This window comes from Homo sapiens, chromosome 14 (genome assembly GCF_000001405.40).
Source record: "Homo sapiens chromosome 14, GRCh38.p14 Primary Assembly".
NCBI classification, from domain to species: domain Eukaryota; kingdom Metazoa; phylum Chordata; class Mammalia; order Primates; family Hominidae; genus Homo; species Homo sapiens.
Genome location: NC_000014.9, coordinates 51285684 through 51302989, shown reverse-complemented (window position 1 = coordinate 51302989; position 17306 = coordinate 51285684). Strand labels below are relative to the sequence as shown.

The window sequence follows — 17306 nt, the reverse complement described above, 5'->3', positions numbered from 1 at the left end:
AAACTGAGTTCCGAGCCATGATTGGATGGGAGTTTGGACAGGCCTAGTTATACCTCCTCCCTTGCTTTTCTTTCCTAAGGGTTAAACAGAAACTAGTCCTTGGGAAAGGCTTGCCCCACCATTGATTTCAACCAACCCCATGACTGCCCCTCCCATTTAGTGCCTTTGACACAAATGACCAGCATTCCTTCTGACCACAGAGTGGTTCTGGCCAGTCTACAGAGGATGTACACTGAGGATTTTTGTGTCCAATGCTTCACCTTTGATGCCAGAGGGCTGAAAATTCTACCCTCAGATCATGCTAACACAGTCATTTGTTGAACATACGACCCATGGAGAGGCATGAAGTTCAATTGTGCATGTGTATGTTTTTCCTTTCATATTTATAACTCCTCCTACAGCTTATTAAATATGTATTTCAGCCACCCCACTCAGCATAAATTTCTGTTCCCTTTGCCCCTCCCTTGAAGTATCTGTTTCTGGCTTCTGGCCAAAGGCTGTGTTTTCCAGCCTGTCAGAATAGCCACCTGCAGGCTGCAACCCTTTATGAGAAATAAAGCTCTCCTTTCCAAATGTATAAACCTCATCATTCTGCAGCTGACAATCCCATCTGATTGATATGTGGCTGAGAGCCTCTTTTCCCCTGCATTTCGTGGGAGGTGGAGCATGCTAACTGAATGCCCTGCAGAGAGAGCCGCAGATTCCCCCAGCTTTTCCCCGCATGCCTTCTATCCAGCACATCCTCTCCTAAATATCACTTTCTTCAGAGTTTATCCCTGCTCCAAAACAGTCAATGGGTTCTGGAGGTCTATGCTTCAGCACAGTATGGTGGGTCAAAGGGCAGGCTCACAGCCATACTACAAAGGGTCAAATCCTGGCCACTTAGGAGCTGGGTAACCTGGGACTAGTTCTTAACCTCTTAACCTCTCTCTACCTCAGCTTCCTTCTCCTCTTCAAAAACAAGATCACAGGACTGTTGAAAATGGAATGAGTTAGTTCAAGTAAAGCACTTAGCACACACTAACTCGAGCACTTAATAACATTAGCATTATTATTCCTATAACCCACCCTTACTTGGTTTCACTGCAGGCAACCTATTATTGATCCCAAAGTGCAGTTAGATCCCCACATCCCTTTAATTTTTGCTCTGCTCGATGTTCTTCTGGCATGTTCTCTTTCTGTTGTGTCTGCAAATCCTCCCCACGTGTCAAGGTCAAGCTGAAGCCCTAACTTCTCCTCATATTCTGACTGTTGGGGCCTCCCAACCTCCTCCTTCTATAGAGTTTAACAGTTTAACAGTATCTACCTCTACCTGAACATTTTTTAGGAAATGAGTGAGTGAGTCATGGCCTCATTAGGAAACAGGCAGCACCTAAAAATGATAATCAAAGACTATTTATAGAGGAGTGGATAGGGTTGAGAGAACCAAAAAGAGATGGCAGGTCACCCAGGGACTAGCAACAGGGGAAGCAGTTATCACCCAGGCTTAAAGGGATAAAGAGAGGGAGTAACCACTCCCTACTACTAGACACCAATGAGAGCCATCAGAGAGGCCTCCTAAGTTGTGGACTTGACATAGAGAAACACCACTACTGCCAAACCATTTGGAAAGTGGTGAATGAATACCCCAGCCTCTATCTCTTCCATGCTTCACAGTCTCTTGTAGGCAATTCCTATTAGCCAGACCCAACTGAAGGCCAGAGCCCAGGGAGAGGTCCGTCCCCTCCCACCCTACCCGGAGACACAGAAAAGGGTGGGGAATGGATATGGAGGGGTGAAGGGAGATTAGCTAGCATGGACAGGTTTGTAACAAGCTACATTCGCATGGACAGGTTTGTAACAATCGTCACTCCATTGGGACCTATCTTGTATTCATTCTGTGGTCTCTCACGTGCAGGCCTCTGCAAGAGTTAGCATGATTAAGTGGAAAAAAACATGGACTTTGAAATCAGAGACCTCGGTTATTATCATCCAAACCCTGTCATCTTCTAGCTATATGACCTTAAGAAAGTAACAACTTCCCTGAGTTTCTGATTCTCAAATTCCTTACTGGTAAGATGAGAGTAATCTAGGGTTGTTATGAGAATTAAATTAGAGAAGTAATTCCCTATTCCCTACTTCCTAACTACTTATAATCTCCTTAACACAAAGGCTCAGATGATGAAAAAATAGCTCAGATGATGAAAAATAGGAATGTGCACATGTGCTGATGGACAGAAAATTTCTGTGAATTCTAAGTCATACTGGGAAATTCAAGGGCTTTGTTTGGCATTTGTCTTAAGCTGGCTTGTCTAATGAGAAAAGCAGAAAGATATCTAACAATTTGTAGACCTTCATAACCCCGCAAATCAGAGTATGGTCCAGCAGCATCACCAACACCTAGAAGCCTATTAGAAATGCATGTTCTGTACCCCTTACCACCAGAATCTGCATTGTAACAAGATCTCCAGGTGATTTGTACATGTGTTTAAGGCCCAAGAAGTCCTGCTTTAGAAATAAAGGAACCCCAGAGGTCATCTAGATTCTGGTCAAGCCACCCCAATTTATCAGGACACTGACATCCAACACTATGTAAATTGTCCAAGGACACTGTGGCAGATGCTGCCTATTGACTAATCCTACAGGCTCCAACCTCTCCTCTCATGCTAGTTTCCACTTCACAAGATGGAAAAGCTAAATATCCTCCCAGTCTCCCTTGCAGCTAGGAGTGTTTACATGACAGTTCTGACCAGTGGCATCTGCTGAGTGGGTTTCTTAAAAATCTTCTGCTTTCTTGGGAGGCTGAGGCAGGAGAACCACTTGAAACTGCGAGGCAGAGGATGCAGTGAGCCAAGATCATGCCATTGCACTCCAGCCTGGGAAAAAGAGTGAAACTTCATCTCAAAAAAAAAAAAAAAAAATCTGCTTTCTCAGTAAAGAGGGGCATGCATGGAGACATCAACCTTCCCTGTTTGTCCTGCCTTAAAGGAAACACTGCTCTAGAGCTGAGGTGGGCATCTTGTGGCAATAGAGCCACAAGAGTAAGGCTAAAACAGCTACATGCTGAGGGTTGTAGAAGGGAAAGACACAAGGAAGCTGGTCCTGGAGGACACCATTAAGCTGAGGCTGAATCAAGCCAGCAATTTCCTACTTTCAGCCTTCTTGTTATGGAATATACATAAATAAATCTCTCTTTATGGAAGACTCCACTTGTCAAGTTTTCTGTTACTTGAAGCCAAATTCATCCCACATAATGTCACACAGCTAGCAAGTGGCTAAGCCAACGTTAGGTCCCAGGGCCCCAGAGATTTTTCCTATGCCTCTTTTATTCATTAAGTCAGATAAATCTTTCAAAAAAATTTCTATAAACACATATGGAATCAAGGGAAAGTGCTAATGTGAGAATGCATCTGTGCATGGGAAGAGAGGTGTTATATAAACTCTTGTAGTGCTGGAAATAATATCTCTAGGGCAGATAACCAGGTTCAGTTTAGAAATGCTGCATGTGTGTGTTTGCCAAACTTAAAATGGAGACAATGAAGAGAGGTGAGGGTGAAGAGCAGACAGATCTTCATTTCTTCAAAGAATCTCCACTGGCCATTTGTGAACCACATGGAATTTGATATATGAAATTTAAATAAATGTTAGGTACAATTCCTCATCTGTGACACCACCAAATGTCATGTTGATGCATCAATCTCTGCATATTCTATTAATATATATTTACTGAGTTATAAAAAATGCATGTTTGTCTAACCAAAGGTTGCTATTCTCAAACTTACTTTAAAAAAAAAAAAGGTAGGGGGAGGAGCTAGAATTCATTGACTCAGAGAAATCACAAAAGAAAATGAAAGAAGTAGCACACCCAGAAAATGAAAAAACAGCTTCCTTCCAGAAGTGGGACAGCCTGCTGGAGGAAATGCCCCCTCTGACTAAGCCCAGAGAAGATGCTGAACAGGCAAAGCCATCAGGACCAGGACAGACTCACCTCCCTCCCCTTTACCATGAGGTTTTTTGAAAAGCCAAGGGAGATCTCGACTGGGCTCCTGCCAAAATCATTCTATCATTTTCAGGTGAATTAAATATGAGCTAGCAGACACTGAGCACTCACAGTAATTCGGTTTCTGTACAGCTACATTCTACAAAGCAGCTTTGATCCATGCTGCTACCTTGTTGAGCTGGCCCTGTCCCTCATTTTACAGATGAGGAAATTAGGAAACTCCCTCAAGATCACAAAGCAGCAAGTGGGAAGAAAAAAATCCCTAAGACCCTGTAGGATCTTATGCTGCTTCTCTCTAAACTCACTGTGACATTCACCTTTATGTTGCCCTGGCCAGGCCTTGACACTCTCACCACCTTCCATGCCCATTCTTACTAGTTATGTCTGGTCTCTGTTTAAAAGTTACTTGTTTAAGAAATCTCTGCCTCATGCCCTGCCCTGGACTGGGTGTCCTTTGATGAGCTCCCACTATGCTGTGTACCTCTTAGCACTTTCAACTGTCATTAACTAATCAACTGATTGATTACATGAATTAAATAATGATTTGTTTATTCTGATGGTGGCACCAAGGGGTAGCTTGGTGTTACGCTGTGTGTGGCAGGACTGCAGGAGGGGGCGGTGAGGGAGCATCTTTGACTGCTCAACAATCTCCATCGGTTCTTCCTCATCATCATCCACTCCAAATAAACAGTTAACATGAGAAGAGACAAGTCATTTTGCAATATAAGATCACCTTTAAGTCAAGTATCTTTGCCATTCCCTTTCTGTCTCAAAACCAGACTAAAGTCCCAATCCCCAACCCTGTAGAAACTTTAGAACCATTTTTGAAAGTCTTTCACTCTGATTAGTGTGAAGGTTCCATGAAGGCATGCACTATGTCTTGTTCACCCTTGAATCCCAGCACCTAAGACAGTACTTAGCACACGGTAAGCAACCAAGTATATGAGTGAATGAATGAATGACTTAGGACTCCCAGGTTAGTGCTCTTCCACCATACCACTCTGCCTCCCCTAAGATTGAAGCCCACAGAAACTTCTACCTTTGCACATTCTCTACTTCAGATGAAAGCACAGCCTTGCTGGGGTCAGGGGCTTGGAAAAACACAGCCCCGACAGACAATTCTTGGTCATGGTTTTAGCTGAAATGTTTCATCTCGCACGCAGTGCCCTTTCAGGAGGGCAGGGCTCCCCTCTTAAGCCATTCCCAGAAAATAAGGAGAGGACTCAGACCCAACAGAATTAACACAGGAAAGACAGAACATTTGAGGGCCCAGATGTCCTTCTCTTCATCCAGGCTCTCAACACATGGAATACCGAAACCTTTTCCAGCCCCTTTCTCACAATCACCTGGAGATGCTGGTTTAAAGATGCCAATTCCAGGATTCCACCCTAGACCTATTGAATCAGAATCTCTGGGGGTGATCTGAGGAACCTGTGTTTTTAACAAGCTCTCCACCAAAAACAAATGCTTGTTTTTAACAAGGATTGGAGATTTTTTAACAAACATCTCCAACGCTGATACCTGCTACTCTGAAACGTCTTGACTCTTAAGTCACGGCCCAGCCTATGATGTTCAGAGGCTGACCATCAGTTTAGGCCATGCCAGGCCCATGAGGTAGGGGAATTTCATGGAACTCAATGAGACTCCATTCAACCTGACCTTTTTTTTTGCATTTTTAAATTAGAGTATAACAGTCACCACCAGTGGCGAATGGCCTGGATAGCTGCCCCTGCAGCCTCCCCCAGTCTTATCCATATCACAGTCTGGAGATCTCTGACCCCGTCAGAGGGAGAGGAAAACTCAATGATTGGGACCTGGTTTCTGTCACTTAAAAAAAAAAAAAAAAAAAAAAAACAAAGTTCAAAGTTCCAGATTGAACCTGGGTGGCACAGGAATGCAGGGGCTTTTCTTTGTTTATTTTGAGGAAGAGCAGGGACACATTGGCAACCAAATCCCAAAACCAAGACGGAATCACAAAGCCATTTCCCGGGTGTCTTGTTGCTCAAGAATCTCCCTCTCCCTTGTTGCTGGGTCTAGACGCAGCCTCCTGTTAAGGCAGAATACTTACTCACTAAAAGTTCCCATTTTACGTCTAGGAGGGGCCAAGGACCAAGTCACAACAAATCCAAAATGCTCAACAGTGGTTAATGGATGCTTTCATTCTTTAAAATATGGGCACTTTTAGGAAATATATAACAACCAGAATACCTCTCCCTACCACCACCAAAATGCACACAGTGCTCAGGACTGTTTATATAATTTCAAGTGTACACGGGTTCCCTGTAGCCTATCCATGGAACGCTGGCGATGGGGCCCAGATTAAGAACGATCATAAACATATTGAAGAATTAAAAACCTGAAATGTCTAGAAAGGTTTATCCACACCTGAGGAAATTCAAGGTGGGGATGGGATGGGATGGATGAGGACACAAGCTTGAAAATATTCTCTTTACTCATGTCTTGATTGTTAATAGAAATCTGGCAGAAATAAAATAGATATATGCAATATTTGTTTCTGGTCCTTTTATTAATCTGAAGTAATTTTGTTATTTTAGGGACATTAAAAATTCATCATACAGAATTTAATATACTCATAAAATAATCATGCTTCATAAATTTAAAGGTATAATCTTGGAGATGATTAAATATTTACTAGTTGAATTTACTTTAAAACGTTTTATATTTGTTGTAGGGTGCTGAAACTGCTAGGCTTTTTTAAAATCTAGGGTTAGTTTTTGCTGGTTTATAAGAAGCATTCCAAAACTGCAAATTCTTTCTTTAAATAAAGAACTGTACTCTTTTTTAAAAAAATCCATTGTCCATCTCACATTCACATGTCTAGAAGGAGGACAGGTCCTGGACACTTGCTCTATTCCTCCACACTCTTGAGACCTGTCCTATCTCCTGTGTGTTCTGAGTCATTAGGGCAAGTAGCACCACAGGCACATAGTCCCTGATCGGCCATGTGCCGACCTCTGTACTGATTCTCAAAAGACTAAGCCCACCAGCAAAAGAGGCACTAGGTCTGTCTGCCTTTTCTTTTAAAAATGGTAGTAACTCCCTGAATGTTATAAGCTTACATTTGTACCATTTTCCATTGATCCTAAGACACACCTTATGAGTCACCAGGAGCAACACCATCCTTTAGACGACATGATACACTGCTTTAACTATAGTTATCCAGTCATGCAAGCCTCTGATTGCTTTGACGTTTCTTTCATTCATCCAAGATGTGCCAGCAGTTTCTGCTGTCACTCGACTGGGCTTGTGATGGTCAATCCTTCTGTGAAACTCATTAACAGTTTCTTCTACTTAAGGGATGGCTCTTCCTCTCTTAGGCTCCAGAAAGCAGTTCGGTTGTTACTTTGCAAAAATTATGCACTATTGTGTTCATTCCTCCAACCATGCGTATCTGCTTCACTAATATCAAATTAAAGTCCTGCTGCTCTGTTTCTACGCCTTTTTGCACACAAGGTAATTTTTCATTTTAATGTCAAATCATAGTATAATTTTTTGAGGATCTTCTAAACGCAATTAAATTCAACACCTATACCATCAACAATGCATCCAATTCAATTGACATGATGACAGTGTGAACTGCCATGATATTATTAACGACTGTATCTCCACAGAGCCTGACCAACACCATGAGCTGATCCCCAGAGATGTTAGGATGTGACAGATGTGCATTCTGGAATCAATTAAATAGGGCTCCCACACTGTAACCCTGTGCTCTTGTCTTAATGTCTGGCTGACCCGTGGTCATAACTAAAATGAAGAGGAAAATAATTCCAACTAAGAATAGGATAATGATGAATCAAATAGTCCTTTCACTTCCTGCAATGTTCTGACTCCTTTCCGTTACGTGTCTTAAAGTGAGGGACTCAGAGCTATCTTTCTTACCTACTCACCAACAGTATGTCATGTTAGTTTGCTGTGATCTTAATGACAATATCCTGCTACATCTCTTTTTCCTCCCTCAATCTGTCTCTTTTTCTCCGCTAATAACATGGAAGGGGAACCAACTCTTATTTCATCTAGCTACACTAATACTACAACTTTGAGTTTACAAATTTCCTTCCTCTCATTTTTTAATCACAATTCCCCATAATAACTTTATTGAGTAGTAGAGAGGGGGAGAGACTATGAATTTGTGGATGATGTAACTGGGACAAAAAAGAGTTGGTAGGAAAACCAATATTAGCACTTAGCCTCCCAAACTTGAGTATCTTGTTCTCTGTTGTTCTGTTTTGTTTTGTTTTTTTGAGAAGGAGTCTCGCTCTGTTGCCCAGGCTGGAGTGCAGTGGCTGATTTCGGCTCACTGCAAGCTCCGCCTCCCGGGTTCATGGCATTCTCCTGCCTCAGCCTCTGGAGTAGATGGGACTACAGGCACCCGCCACCACGCCTGGCTAATCTTTTTGTATTTTTAGTAGAGACGGGGTTTCACTGCATTAGCCAGGATGGTCAATCTCCTGACCTCGTGATCCGCCCACCTTGGCCTCCCAAAGTGCTGGGATAATAGGCATGAGCCACTGCGCCAGGCCTGTTCTCTGATTTTAAGACCCCTTTGGGAAGAGCCATCCCACAAACAGAAGAAACTGTTAATGAGATCCCCAAAAGAATCTCTCATCACAAGCTAACCTTCTGGATGGGAGGAATGTATGTGGATTCCTAAAAGTTGAAGGCTGCTTCTATATGTTCAGTTTAGTAAGTACTCCTATAAAGACAGTACACAAGGCTTGCCAGGCAGGGTACTGTCGGGTATTCCGGGAGGAAAGTCATTGCTCCAGCCTCCTCTGCCTCATAATCTAGAGCCGTTCTCAATTCCGGGATGGGGGAAGAGGCAGGGAGGGGGCACTTCATCTTGTGAATCAGCTTACATTTACAGGCCCCAGAAAATTGTTCCAGATCCCTCCCTGAAAACACACACACACATGCAGGATATTGCAAGTCATTTCTTGGGATTGATACAGCTCCTGGACATTAGAGGAGTAGCTCACGTCTGTACCCCATAACATTGAGCCACGAAACTCACACAGATGAGCTTTTTCTCATGGTTAGTCCCACCCAAGTACAAAGAGACCAAGCCAGTCAAATAGTTTCAGGAGGAAGCAATAGCCTCCCTTGGTGTTCAGGTTTTCTTGATTAACATCTGTCAAAGAAATTCCTTGATCCTTCCTTCAGACCTGGTGTTTTGTGAGGCCTTCTTTCCTGGCAGGGTTGATGGTGAATATCCTCCAGAATGCACAGCAGGCCAGGGCACTTTTGAATAATCCACGGCCCTCCCTGAGGGGCCCGCCCATGATACCTCCTGCTCCCTGCATACCCCACCCTGTGCTCCACTTGTCTCTTCACAGCCCCTGGCCAAGATGCTGGAGCCTCAGATTGCCTTCTGAGCCCTCAGAAAGCAGTGCTCCTCTTAAAGAGGTCAGGGGACCCCACTCTGCCAGAAAAATCTCTGGCCAGGGCTATGGCTGCAGAGTTTCTGGCATCTGTGAGTTGGCGAGTGGTCAGGGAGTTTCCAGTCTTTTACAACTCTCGAAAAGCAACCTGATTTTTCATTTGAAGTCAGGATGTTGAAGTGTCCCTGAATCGCTGGGGACTGACATCTGGGATCGGAGCCTTGTCTTGCTGGAGCCAGAGTCTCCGTATCACTTAAGGACACAGAAATCCTGGTTTCTTTCCCACATTAACTTGTGAATACAAATATGAAGCTTTTTATAAGATTCCCCACATCCTGTCTTAGAAAAGGAGACAGAGTTCCAGTTCTAGAGCCACAAAGGATCTGTTGAAACTCTGGCATTGCAGCCACTTTCTTGTTTATTATTCTTCTTCTCTGGATGTCAGTGTTTCAAGGCCCTGCAGGGGAAGCTCAGATGTGGCCTCACTTAAATTATTACTACTATGAATTATAATATATAGTGCTTTTTAGTTAAAAGAGTTTTTACTGTTATTATTATTTTAACCTAATCTTCATCTGACCTCCCCAGTAATTCCATAGTGTATCAGCTGCGGTCCCAGCATGGATCAGATGGCCATTCAAAGAGTTTAATTGAAAATTGTTTAAAGAAGGGACTATTTACAGAGATGGATCAGTCAGAGTCCAATCAGGAAAACAAAAACTGTGCTGATTATTTTAATAAGGTGAATTAAATATAAAGAAAGGATTGGAGATCTTTATATGAAGTATCTAAAGTAGTCAATTCGTAGAGACAGAGAGTAGAATGGTGGTCATCAGGGGCTGGGGGACGGGCAATGGGGATCTGTTTCAAGGGCAGAGAGGTTCGGTTTTGTAAGATGAAAAAGTTCTGGAGATTAGATGCAAAACAATGTGAAGCTACTTAACACCACTGAACTGTGCACTTAAAAAGGTTAGGATGGTAACATTTATGTGTTTTTCACAATAAAAAGAAAAAAAGAAAGGGGTTGGAGATCTGAATATGTGAAAGGAATCATAAAAGTAACACAGAAAAGCAACTGTGAAGGACAGGCTAGCACCACTCGGGCCAGGAAACAAAGGGAAGAGCTTAGTGTTGTCACCCAGAAGCTCGGAGCAGGGCAGCAGATGTGGGTCTGAGGCCTCTGAAGAGGGGCTGCCCGGTTATTACAGGTCCTTGAGAGCAAGCACAAGGACGGCCCTGAGAGTGCCAGAAAAACACGGGAGGCTGCATCCCAAGGCTGCTGTAGGAAGGATGGCTGCTGAGGATAGTCTAAGGGGAAGCACAAGCAAAAGGAGGAATGGGTCCCTGCTCCTCCCTCCAGTCTTGCAGGCTCCCCACAGCACCCTATATTGGCAGAACCGACAGAGAGCTGCTGACAAAGAGGGATGTCTTTTGGAACATCACAGCCCAGTACCAAAAAGCAGGGCATAAAAAAGGGTGGTGAGGAGCTGAGCAATATCAGCTTAGTAATGGGCAGGGTAAAGGGAATGGTAAAACAATCAGCAACCAGGAACAGCAGGAAGCAATTATTGCCCCTAAGTCTAAGGGGCAAGAAGAAGGGATGATGTTATGGGAACCTTGTCAGGGCCATTAGGGACATGGCTGTGGGAGAGGGGCTGCCCAGCAGGATCTGTGGCCATCTGCTTAAACCCCAGCCAAGCAAGGAGGGAAGGGGGCAGAGATGGGGGAAGAAACCCCCTGACTTCTTTCTCTCTCCCTACCGGCTGGTCACCATAGCTTAAGAAGGAATGTTTAACATATATTTAATCAAAATGGGACCTACTAATATGCCTTTATCTGCATCTTCATCTCCCCATCTAAAGATAATAGTGACAATAAAACTGAAATCCCTCTAAGTTAATATACTTCAATTCATTCCTTCTCAACAGTTTAGCAGTAACTTGGCATGAACAAAATTTGCTTTTAAGCATGAAAAATTGGTGATTTTTACCAAATTTATTGAAAGCCTAACGTGCCATTAAAAGACTTGGAACTGATTTTTACAAACACTAGGAATATAAAAAGCAGAATAAATGTTTATCACCTGCTTCTCTTGCTCATTGTTGAAAAATTGCTTTGGATTCAAGTTCTCTAAAATGGGAATGATCATAATACACATCACACAGGATTGTAGTAAGGATGAAATGAGAAAAAAACAGGTGAAAGCACTGTGGAAAGGGGGGGTTTTATTTTCTGTTACCTTCAGCTTTCCCTGGATCTGGGTGTTCTTTAAAGCAGGGGTCCCCAACTCCCAGGCCATGGACCAGCGCTGGTCCATGGTCTGTTGGAAACCAGGCCGCACAGCAGGAAATGAGGGGCAAGCCAGCAAAGCTTCATCTGTATTTACAGCCACTCTCCATTGCTCATATTACCACCTGAGCTCCGCCTCCTGTCAGATCAGCTGCAACATTAGATTCTCACAGAAGCATGAACCCTATTGTCAACTGCGCATGTGAGGAATCCAGGTTGCATGCTCCTTAGAAGAATCAAATGCCTGATAACCTAAGGTGGTGATGCTAGTGCTGTGTAGTGGCTGCAAATACAGATTAACATTGGCAGGGAGGTTTGACTGCACAGAGACCATAATAAATCAATTACTTGCAGACTCCTATCAAATCAGTGAGTGGCAAGTGACAAGCTACATCTGGTGGCAGACTTTATAGCAACAAGTGAGTTGATGTCCTTCAATTGTACAACTGCATCTGGTGGCCTTAAAAGCACATTTGAGACAACTTCAAATCTCCGTATCTTTTGGATTAAAGTCAAGTTGGAATGTCCTGAGATTGCCATAAAAGCACTGAAAATCCTCCTTCCATTTCCAACTTTCTATCATTGTGAAGCAGGGTTTTCTGCAGTGACAGCAACCCAAACGAGATTATGGAGTAGACTGGACATAACCAACACACTTTGGGTGTCACTATCTCCCATCATTCCCAGATGGGACCATCTAGTGGTAGGAAACAAGCTCAGAGCTCCCACTGATTCTACATTATGGTGAGGTGTATAATTATTTGATCATATATATTACAACGCAATAATAATAGAAATAAAGTACACAATAAATGTAATGCACTTGAATCACCCCAAAACCATCCCCAACTCTGGTTCATGGAAAAACTGTTTTCCACAAAACTGGTCCCTAGTACCAAAAAGGTTGGGGATCATTGCTTTAAAGTACCACCATCACAATCACCATCATAATCACTGCCATCATCACCATCTTCATCATCACTATCATCATCATTACCTCCATCAGCACCATCATCATCATTATCATTATCCTCATCACTAACATTACCTTTTTTCCAGGCCCTATATTTCTTTGCCCTCAGGGCCTTCAAAATTTTATGGAGCAAAAAACCCTCTTGGAGGGAAATAAGAGATGAGATTTGGAGTCAGAAGAGTTGCGTTGGAATGCTGGGTTTGCCATTGACTAACTGTAGGATCCTTCTGAGTTTCCCAGTTTTCTCATCTGTTAAACAGAAATACCTACCTACCTCTGTTGATTATTTTCCCTTTGCCCCTCCAAATCCATTCTCTGCCCTCCCTTTGCCATCTTATTTTGTATCTTGTAAGGATGACTTTTACAGACCAAATCACCTAGGCTCCCTTGTATGTGTATATGTTTGTAGGAATATTGATAGAGGGCTGGAAATATACATATCAAGCTTAAGTTATCTGATTTAAGAAAGCAGTAGTGGTGGCTGGGCACAGTTTGTTGCTATTTTATGAGCAACAAAGTGTAATTCCAGCACTTTGGGAGGCCTGAGGTCAGGAGTTCAAGACCAGCCTGGCCAACATGGCAAAACCCCGTCTCTACTAAAAATACAAAAAAATCAGCTGGGAATGCTGGCACGTGCCTGTAATCCCAGCTACTCAGGAGGCTGAGGCAGGAGAATCACTTGAACCTGGGGAGCGGAGTTTGCAGTGAGCTGAGATCATGTCACTGCACTCCAGCCTAGGTGACAGAGCAAGACTCTGTCACAAAAAAAAAAAAAAAAAAAAAAAAAAAAAAAGCAGTCATGGTGATAGTGGTAGAAAGATTAGGTATGGAAAAAAGATGAGCAAAATGAAAAATATTTACATGTGAAAATATTCTGCTGAGCAAAAAAACTGAGACACAAAATCATAACTATGTCTGATGTCATTTGTGTGACATTCTAGAAAATGCAAACTAATCTGTAGTGACAGAAAGCATATCAGTGGTTGCCTGGGGCCAAAAATGGAAGGAGAGATTAACCATAGTAGGGTATGAGGGAACTTTCTGGGGTAATAAAACTATTTGGTGTCTTGATTTTGGTAATAGTTACAAGATGAATACATTTGTAAAACCTCAACCACTTGTACAATCATTTGTACTAGTTTATTATTATATGTAAATTATACTCAGTAAAGTTGATCTGAAAAATACTTGGGCTAGGAGCAGTGGCTCACACCTGTAACCCTAGCACTTTGGGAGGCTGAAATAAGAGGACTGCTTCAGACCAGGAGTTCAATACCAGCCTGGGCAACACAGTGAGACCCTGTTTCTACAAAAATTTTTAAAAATTAGCTGGGCGTGGTGGCACACACTTGTACTTCTAGCTTACTTGGGGGGCTGGGGTGGGAGGATTGCTTGAGCCTGGGAGGGTCAAGGCTGCAGTGAGCCATCATCATGCCACTGCATTCTAGTCTAGGTAACAAAGTAAGACCCTGTCTCCAAAAAAAAACTCATGGCATAATATAAATGGAAGAGATATATAATAGAATTCTAGCAGTAATATTACTGTAAGTCTGTACAACCTAAATGTACACACAAGGACTAAAAGGTACATGGACCAATGAATACATCAGCTTGGTGCACAGATGCCTGCTATTTTATGAGCAACAAACAAAAAAGAAATGAGCTGAAGAAGGCTCCTGAAGACAGCAATGCCTACCCAGCAATGCCAAACTCAATGTAAGGTTGCCCTTTACAGAAATATGGTATGGGAGTACCGAAAGCAACAAGAGGAAATAAAACTGTCTATAGGATCCTGATGGGGGTCTCATTTTACAATAAAAAGAGCTTTATGCAATGGACTCGAGTTATAATGAAGCTTAAAGGGAGAAAGAGAGTGGTCTCAATGCCACTGTGGCCAAATAAGATTCCTAAATTGCTTTCCAAAGATCAATTTCTTATTTTGTAAGCAAAAAATAACACTAGCCTTCAAATGCCAACTTTTCAAGACCCCAACTTCTACTGTGAAATATTCCCAAAGACATGGGAAGAAACATCTATTGATTCAAACATAAAAGGTGTTTGGCTCATCAGCCCTGTGCTAATGGTTCAAGAAATTTAAAACAACATAATTAACTCCCTGAATTTATGGAACTAAGCAGAGCCCATCCTCTTTATGTCAGACCAGTGGCCCTCATCCTGGCCCCAGATGCATCTTCAGAACTTTTAAAAGTACAGATTCCTGAAAACAACCTTTGGAGTTTATGACTTAGGTCTAATGTTGAGAACCCTCTGCTAGGCACTCACCTTGGTATTTTTATGCACTCCAAGCATTCCAACATAGCCCTTGGAGCACCTGCCATTTTCTGGCATAAAAGTTCTGTGGTATTCTTTCTGTACTCTCCCCAACTCTATGGCCCGAAGATTTTAAAGATATGCAAAGCATCTTCCATTCCCAGCTGAGACTGGACACACCTGAAATAGGTAAAAGTGACAGAAAGACTGGATGGTATGGAACACTCTTCCAAGTTTCCAGGAAAAGGGCTCAATCTGAAACATAATTATTTCATTTCTTCCTTTCTACTTCCTAAGCATTGATGGTTCAGTTAACAAATGGTACCTGAGAAGCAGTGTTAGCACCTTGATGCAATGAAAGTACAAGGAAATGAGACGACCTCCTGACCTGCTTTTGACACCCCCACATATGCCTGCCTCGAGATCTTGGCTTCTCAAGGGCATGAAAAATCAGCTCCCCATTCATTTCTTTTAAAAAAAGTTTATTTCCTGCTTCCTATGTACAAGCCCTGTTCTAGGCACTGGGGACACAGTAGTGAGTGAAACACAAAAGTTTCCTTCTATTGTTGGCTTACAGTCCAGTTAAAAGAGACAAGTAAAAAACAACAACAAAAAATAGTGTCAAATTATGATTTCAATGCAAGAAATTAAAAATATGTTGTTAAAAAGAGTGAAGGGGCCAGGCGTGGTGGCTCATACCTGTAATCCCAGCACTTTGGGAGGCCAAGGTGGGCAGGTCACAAGGTCAGGATTTTGAGACCAGCCTGGCCAATATGGTGAAACCTCATCTTTACTAAAAATACAAAAAAAAATTAGCCAGGCATGGTGGCATGCACCTGTAGTCCCAGCTACTCGGGAGGCTGAGGCAGGATAATCACTTGAACCTGGAAGGCGGAGGTTGCAGCAAGCCAAGATCACGCCACTGCACTCCAGTCTGGGGGACAGAGGAAGACTCCATCTCGAAAAAAAAAAAAAAGGGTGAAGGCCAGAGTCACAGAAAGACAAACACTGCGTAATTCCACTATTTATATAAGGTATCTACAATAGTCAGACACATAGAAGCAGAGAGTAGAATGCTGGTTCCCAGGAGCTGCAGGGAGGGAAGGATGGGATAGGGAGTGTCTATTCAACAGGTATAAAGTTTCAGTTACGTGAGATAAGAAAGTTCTGGAGATCTGTGGTACAGTATTATGCCTATTATAAACAATGCTATATTGCACTGTTAAAAACTTGGCAAGAGGGTAGGTTTCACATTAAGTATTCCTACCACAATGAAAAAGATGTTAAATAAAATAAATAAATAAGTGAAGAGCATAAAGCAGGACATGGGAGTGGGCAGGGAGATGAGGAGGAGTCGGGGGGCCCTTTCTTCCCTCCCTTTACTCCTGCCTCAGAAGGTAACATCTGAGCTGAGCTCAAGGAAAAGAATGAACCAGCATGCAGAGAGCCTACAGAACGAGCAATGTGACAGCTGAGGCCTAATAGGAAGCAGAAGACACTCACAAGGGACGATGTGCAAAAGCGCAGGTAGAGCTTAATGAAACTAGCTACCCAGGGCTACCAAAAGTGGGGGGAACCATGAGCACCCCTGGCCTGCAGGGACAAAGGGAGGAGTGGCTACCAAAAGATGGAGAAGACCCCTGATAGGAGCTGTGGCCTTTGGTAAAGGGATGCAACCATCCTCAGGTAACTAGCCAGCAAGGAAGGAGCAGGGGTGGGGTGGTAAATACCCTGAATAAATATCTCCTCCTCATTCTCTCTGATCTCCTGCTAGTGCTTCCCATTGGCCAATTCCAACAGGAAGTCAGGAAGCAAGAGTGTTCATCGATGCAATTCACACCATCAGCCTACTGGCACACAGAACAAGATGAGAAAGACTGAAGATTAGGTCTAGAAGGGCAAATGGAAGGCATCAGCATAAACACCAAGTGCAAAAGCTTGCAATGGGAAATAGCACAGCCTGTTCAAGGAGTAGAGGGGCCACTGTGCTGGAGCTTCTTAGACAAGGTATAGGATGTGACAGACAGAAGACAGGACCCTGATCATGTGGGGCCTTTTATGCCATAGTGAGGTGCTGGTATTTAATTCTGTGCCCAACAGGAAGTTTTTTAGAAGGTTGGGATAGGACATAGAACCAGATCTCACTTTTAAAGACCACTTTGCCTGCTGTGTGTGTACTACAGTAGTGGTAAGGGTGGGGGCAGGAAGCAACCAGTGCAGCACTCACCCCAGAACTCACATGTGCAGAGAAATTACACTTCTGCTTCGCCTAGATCTGATCTATTCTTGCTTGCTAGCTCCTATGCACTATAGAAAAACAAAAAAGCAGGGGATAACATTTAGATCAATACAATAATTTAAATCTTTCTTTTAGGTAAAACTCGGCCACTTT

The 17306-nt window shown here is 43.0% G+C and overlaps 1 long non-coding RNA gene across 1 annotated transcript; it reads right to left on the bottom strand.

The window, feature by feature from the left end:
- Positions 1–6487: 6487 nt before the first annotated feature.
- Positions 6488–15559, bottom strand: LOC124903315 (uncharacterized). Its single transcript, XR_007064164.1, has 2 exons — positions 14927–15559; positions 6488–9838 (listed from the first exon to the last, which is right to left on the bottom strand). It is a non-coding gene; the product is annotated as an uncharacterized LOC124903315 (long non-coding RNA).
- Between the last annotated feature and the right edge of the window lie 1747 nt (positions 15560–17306).